Genomic DNA, 5,858 nt, shown 5'->3' on the forward strand with positions numbered 1-5,858 from the left:
TCTTTTATAGACCAGGGGGGTCAAGCGTCCTGTGAAACACCCCAGCAGTCCAGAACGTGCTGTACTATTATACTGATGCCAGGACATCTCACTCTCAGTCCACTTGCTCTTTTTCTCATCTTGGGATAAATTTAGTTTGGTGAGGAATTTGTGCAAAGTAGATTACACGGAGTACCAGTCTTAATGTTAAAGTCAGGTATATGCCTCTTTTTTTTGCATGTGGACAATATAAGAATGTATCCTTTAATATGGAAAAATAAGGTCTTAAACACTGCTTTTTGCAAAAATATTAAACCTGGATCCATTAATATTTTGAAAATCTGTACTAAATGAGAATTCATTTATTTCCAATAGAATTTTATTTATATGCATAATACTATTTTTTTCAAAGTACTTTCTCATATATTAAATTGCTATAAGTATATCCTAGGAGTTAAGATATGTTTAGTTGTATATGTAATTTTAAGGAGGTTTAAAATCTACATTCCCCCTGTCCTGCAAATCAGGAATTTATATGAGGTTAACCTCAAAAGTATATTTTAAGTGTAATTTTGGGGTGATTTTTACTTTTTTAAAACTTTGCCCTTAGTGAGTTCTCCTCAAACACCACCGTGTGAGGAAGATACTGCTGAAGGCCTCCCCATCTGCCCTGTGGTGGAGTCATCTTTTTCCCATTGTTACCCAGGTATCTAGTACTGACTCTTGAAAAGATGAAAAGATGGCCTATTTTGACAGCTACAAATCATAAAAGTAACCATGTCCCCTAAAACACTCAACATTCACAATACCAAGACAAATGGCCATGGCTGGCGCTGGTGTCCAAGGGCTGTGTACCAAGGCAATGCTGATTCCCTTTAACCATCGGCTGCCAATTTCATCAGGGGCTGTGGCTACACAAAGTAAGTGGTGTGGAGCACCACCTGGGTGGATTTTGTCCTCCAAACAAATTAGGTGTTTATCTTTAAAATCCTCACACAGGCTGGGCATGGTGGCTCAGGCCAGTAATCCCCACACATTGGGAGGCCAAGGTGGGACGTTTGCTTGAGCCCAGGAGTTCAAGACAAGCCTGGGCAATATAGTGAGGCCTCACTACTGCAAAAAAATTTTTAATTATTATTATTTTTTAATTTTTTTAAAAAAAATTTAAGTTGGGTGCGGTGGCTCACGCCTGTAATCCCAGCACTTTGGGAGGCCTAGGTGGGCAGATCACCTGAGGTTGGGAGTTCGAGACCAGCCTGACCAACACAGAGAAACCCTGTTTCCACTAAAAATACAAAATTAGCCAGGCGTGGTGGTGGGCGCCTGTAATCCTAGCTACTTGGGAGGCTGAGGCAGGAGAATTGCTCGAACCCAGGAGGCAGAGGTTGTGGTAAGCCAAGATCGCGCCATTGCACTCCAGCCTAGGCAACAAGAGCAAAACTCTGTCTCAAAAAAAAAAAAAAGAAAAGAAAAAAATTTTCAAAAGGACTACAGGCATGGTGGCACACACATGTAGTGCAGCTACTCGGGAGGCTGAGGTGTGAGGATTGCTTGAGGCCAGGAGTCAGAGGTTACAGTGAGCTATGACTGCAGCACTGTATTCCAGCCTGGGCAACAGAGTGAGACCCTGTCTCAAACAAATAAATTAATTAATTAAAAATAAAATACAATCCTCACACATACACCAAATAGACGGAATGATTGGCCACATTTTGATCTTTTCTATCAAATCCACATATGCAAATAACAATTGCATCCAGAAGGGGCATCATTAACATAAACAAGTAGAAAGGGCCTCTATACACAGCCCAGGATATGAAGGGAAGTGTCAATATCAGTACCACCTCTGCTCTGTTCAGACAGGGATGGGTCATCCTGACTTTCTTCACCAGTAATCAAGACTTCGCCAGTGTTTATCCTAGAATATTGTGATTTCTATGTGGAATATTTAAATTGTGTAGGTTTAAACTTCTAACTGGATTTCACAAACTTTTTTTTTTTTTGAAAGAGAGATGGTGGAAAGAGTGAAAATGGATCTGTGATATTCTACCCAGATTCGGAGAAACACAAGTTTAGGGTATACAAATCCCGATCAGATTTCTCTAGACCCTCTGCTAGCGTCAGAGACTCAAGTCTCTGCTCCCCACATCCTTGCCTTCCACGTCTGCCCTTTTAAAACCCTTTCAAGGAACACTGACCTGGCTCAGACAAAGTTGGCCTTTACAAGGGCGACCATGGGTAATGCTGACGGCATTCTTCAGAGAGGGCTGCCTGAGCTACCCAGGTGATGGGAGCAAGTGGGGTTGTCACCCAGGGACTAGGACCAAACACTTGAAACCTGCTGTGTCCCCGTCCTGGGACCACTTGAGGACCGGCCTCCCAGGCAACAGAGAGGCTGCATTCCACCACGTGGTGCTGCCTTCTGCTGCCAACCATGGCCCCCAAAGCACAACTTGTTTCATTTCTTTTCCCCTAAAGTAAAGCAATTCATTTTATTCTTGAATTGTTCTACACACACAAAAAGGTCATCTCTTTTTTTGTCCTCAAAAAGTGTAAGTTTATTATTATTTTTTAAATTTGTTGTTTCTATCGGTTATTGGGGAACAGGTGGTGTTTGGTCACGAGTAAGTTCTGTAGCGGTGATTTGTGAGATTTTGGTGCACCCATCACCCGAGAAGTGTACACTGTACCCTATTTATAGTCTTTTATCCCTCACCCCCTTCCCATTCTTTCCCCAAGTTCCCAAAGTCCACTGTGTCCTTCTTATGCCTTTGTATCCACATAGCTTAGCTCCCACTTATGAGTGAGAATATACAATGTTTGGTTTTCCATTCCTGAGTTACTTCACTTAGAATAATAGTCTCCAATCTCATCTGGGTCTCTGTGAATGCCATTAATTCATTCCTTTCTATGGCTGCATAGCATTCCATCGTATATATACCACAGCTTCTTTATCCACTCATTGATTGATGGGCATTTGGGTTGGTTCCACATTGATGGGCATTTGGGTTGGTTCCACATGAATGCTTATCTTACCATGCTAAATGCTAACATAAGGCTGGGCGCAGTGGCTCACACCTGTAATTCCAGAACTTTAGGAGGCCGCAGTGGGCAGATCATCTGAGATCAGGAGTTTGAGACCAGCCTGGCCAACGTGGTGAAACCCTGTCTCTACTAAAAATACAAAAATTAGCTGAGTGTGGTGCTGGGCACCTGTAATCCCAGCTACTCGGGAGATGAGGCAGGAGAATCACTTGAACCCGGTAGGCAGAGGCTACAGTGAGCCAAGATTGCTTTATTGCACTCCAGCCTGGACAACAAGAGCAAAATTCCATGTCAAAAACAAACAAATAATAAACAAACAAACAAACAAATAAATAAATAAATGCTAACATAAGCATTTTGCAAAATATAGGATAACTAACACTACAATTTTGGTTTCCTTTCTTGTTTCTATTTTTAGTTAAACTAAAAAAAATTTGGTTTTCTTAGACTTCTGGGTGGCTATGTTGAAAATTTGTTTTTCAATCGTGGTAAAATATATGTATAATAAAATGTGCTATTTAACATTTCTAAGCGTACAATTAATTACATTCACAATGTTGAGCAACCGTCACCACTCTCCATTTCCAAAACTTTTTCATGACTTCAAAGGGCAAATTTAAGTCCCATAAATAGACTTAGGCTTAATTAAGCAGATGAAAGAAGAAGAAGCGAGCTGCAATGGGTGATCAAGGTGTTACGTTTACAAGGAACGTGAAACTCTGGGGTTTTTGAACTAAGTGATTAAGCCCACAGCTCAAAGCAAAACCCAGAATTAAAGCTCAAGTTCACATTCAAGGGAACATTAGTTAATTCACTTGGACCCACCGGTTCTGAATTTGCCCCATTTCTTCTGAATACCTCTCTCTTCTCTCGGTCATATCGATGGAAGGGCCTTCAGTTTTCCCCTTGTATTGAATTCCGGAGGGTCTCACTTGCCCAGTGCTTTCTGTTTTGTTTTGTTCTCAGGTTATTTTTTTTTTTCACAGAGAATACACTGCATCGAACACAGAACAAAAAGACTCACTACAACGCTGCAGCCACAATAGTGTGTGATTTCAAGTCTTAAAAACCAGAATCACTTTCTTCTCTGGACTGGAAGCATATTTATTTTGGCCGGTAAATGAGGACTTGTTCCCTGCCTGGGGTGGCGGGGCCGGGGAGAAGCTCTGTTCCGCTGGCTGTGGCGGCAGGCGGGCAGGCAGGTTCCAGTTTCCAGTTTGGCCCAATTCCTCCAAGCTAGCCCTGCTGTCACCTACGGAAAACAGAGAACCTGGGGGGATGTGCTGAAGGCAGCTCCTGAGCCTTCCCACTCCCCACACGCCCTCACATCAGCAGCAGAGCCCGGGGCTGACGGAGTGGGTTTCTCTGGGAAGGACTCTGCCCTTGGATAGATCTGTATCTATGGTAACAGTAAGATGTTTGTGTGAATAACTGAAAAAAAAAAAAAAGTCTTTCAAATCTCTTCTTCTAAACTGTCAAGGCATGTTATTTCCAGCTTCAAATATTATTTTTAATAAATACTTATTTTTCCCATGTAAACACTCAGGCAACTCTCTTTAGAACTTATATGTTCCCAGGGTGCATAATGGGAGGTGTTTCATTACACACGAGGGAAACATGCCGTGAGTCAGAGGAAAGAGTAAATTATGTAAGAAAAGTGTTGTGTGTGTGCCTGCGTGTGTGCGTGTCTGCCTGCGTGTGTGCCTGCGGTGGAGGGGGCGATGTGCCTGCGTGTGTGCCTGCGTGTGTGTGTGTGCCTGCGTGTGTACCTGCGTGTCTGCCTGCGTGTGTGCTTGCGGTGGCGGGGGCGGTGTGCCTGCGTGTGTGTGTGTGTGCCTGCGTGTGTACCTGCGTGTCTGCCTGCGTGTGTGCCTGCGGTGGCGGGGGCGGTGTGCCTGCGTGTGTGCCTGCGTGTGTGTGTGCGTGCGTGTCTGCCTGCGTGTGTGCCTGCGGTGGAGGGGGCGATGTGCCTGCGTGTGTGCGTGTGTGCGTGTCTGCCTGCGTGTGTGCCTGCGGTGGAGGGGGCGATGTGCCTGCGTGTGTACCTGCGTGTCTGCCTGCGTGTGTGCCTGCGGTGGAGGGGGCGATGTGCCTGCGTGTGTACCTGCGTGTGTGTGTGTGCCTGCGTGTGTGCCTGCGGTGGAGGGGGCGATGTGCCTGCGTGTGTACCTGCGTGTCTGCCTGCGTGTGTGCCTGCGGTGGCGGGGGCGGTGTGCCTGCGTGGTGGGCTCCCTGGAGTGATGGGCATTAGCCTTCTCATGACTGCCGCCTGGGAGACTGGTTATTCCAAAGGACCTGGCGCCCAACGCCAGCACGACCGAAGCCTTGAAGGCGAGCAGGCACCCTCCGCAGGAGTGGTCTTCCGCCCAGAGGGCCAGGAATGGCATCCTTGCATCCCAGTCATGCTGGTTCCCCAGACAAGGGCAGGGGTTCCAATTGGAATTTCTTCCTCCATCTAGGAAGAGAGGACTTTTGCGATTGGTATATTCGGACCGGAGTATACACTCACCCACATTCAGTCTGGGTGAAGTGGGAACACTGGAAGGCAGAGGGGGACTGCGTGGTTGGTTCACTTTCTGGGGTGCCAGGTAGAGTCCCCTCTACCCTGAAGGTGCCTGCCTGCACACAGCTCTTTGAGTTGGACATCACGGGAGGGAATCCTTTTTCCGGTGAGGCAGGGTCTCAAGACAAGCACATTCTTTCATTCTTTCGCACAGGTCCGATGGAGAAAGGGGGTGGGGCCCCAGGTTAAAATGTGCCGCTGAGTTACACAGAGAGGCAGAGGGTGCCATGAGCCCTGCCCAAAAGCTCATGGCTGAGTGCATGTAGATGAT

The 5,858-nt window shown here is 46.0% G+C and overlaps 1 annotated feature.

Annotated features, from left to right (window-relative positions):
• Positions 4,934–5,447: an enhancer, noted in NCBI's record as "H3K27ac-H3K4me1 hESC enhancer chr18:74323725-74324238 (GRCh37/hg19 assembly coordinates)". NCBI's record gives its function as "activates a minimal SCP1, AML or CMV promoter by ChIP-STARR-seq in primed H9 embryonic stem cells {active_cell/tissue: H9 hESC(primed)}" and the evidence as "EXISTENCE:reporter gene assay evidence [ECO:0000049][PMID:30033119]".

Source organism: Homo sapiens, chromosome 18 (genome assembly GCF_000001405.40).
Source record: "Homo sapiens chromosome 18, GRCh38.p14 Primary Assembly".
Taxonomy (NCBI): domain Eukaryota; kingdom Metazoa; phylum Chordata; class Mammalia; order Primates; family Hominidae; genus Homo; species Homo sapiens.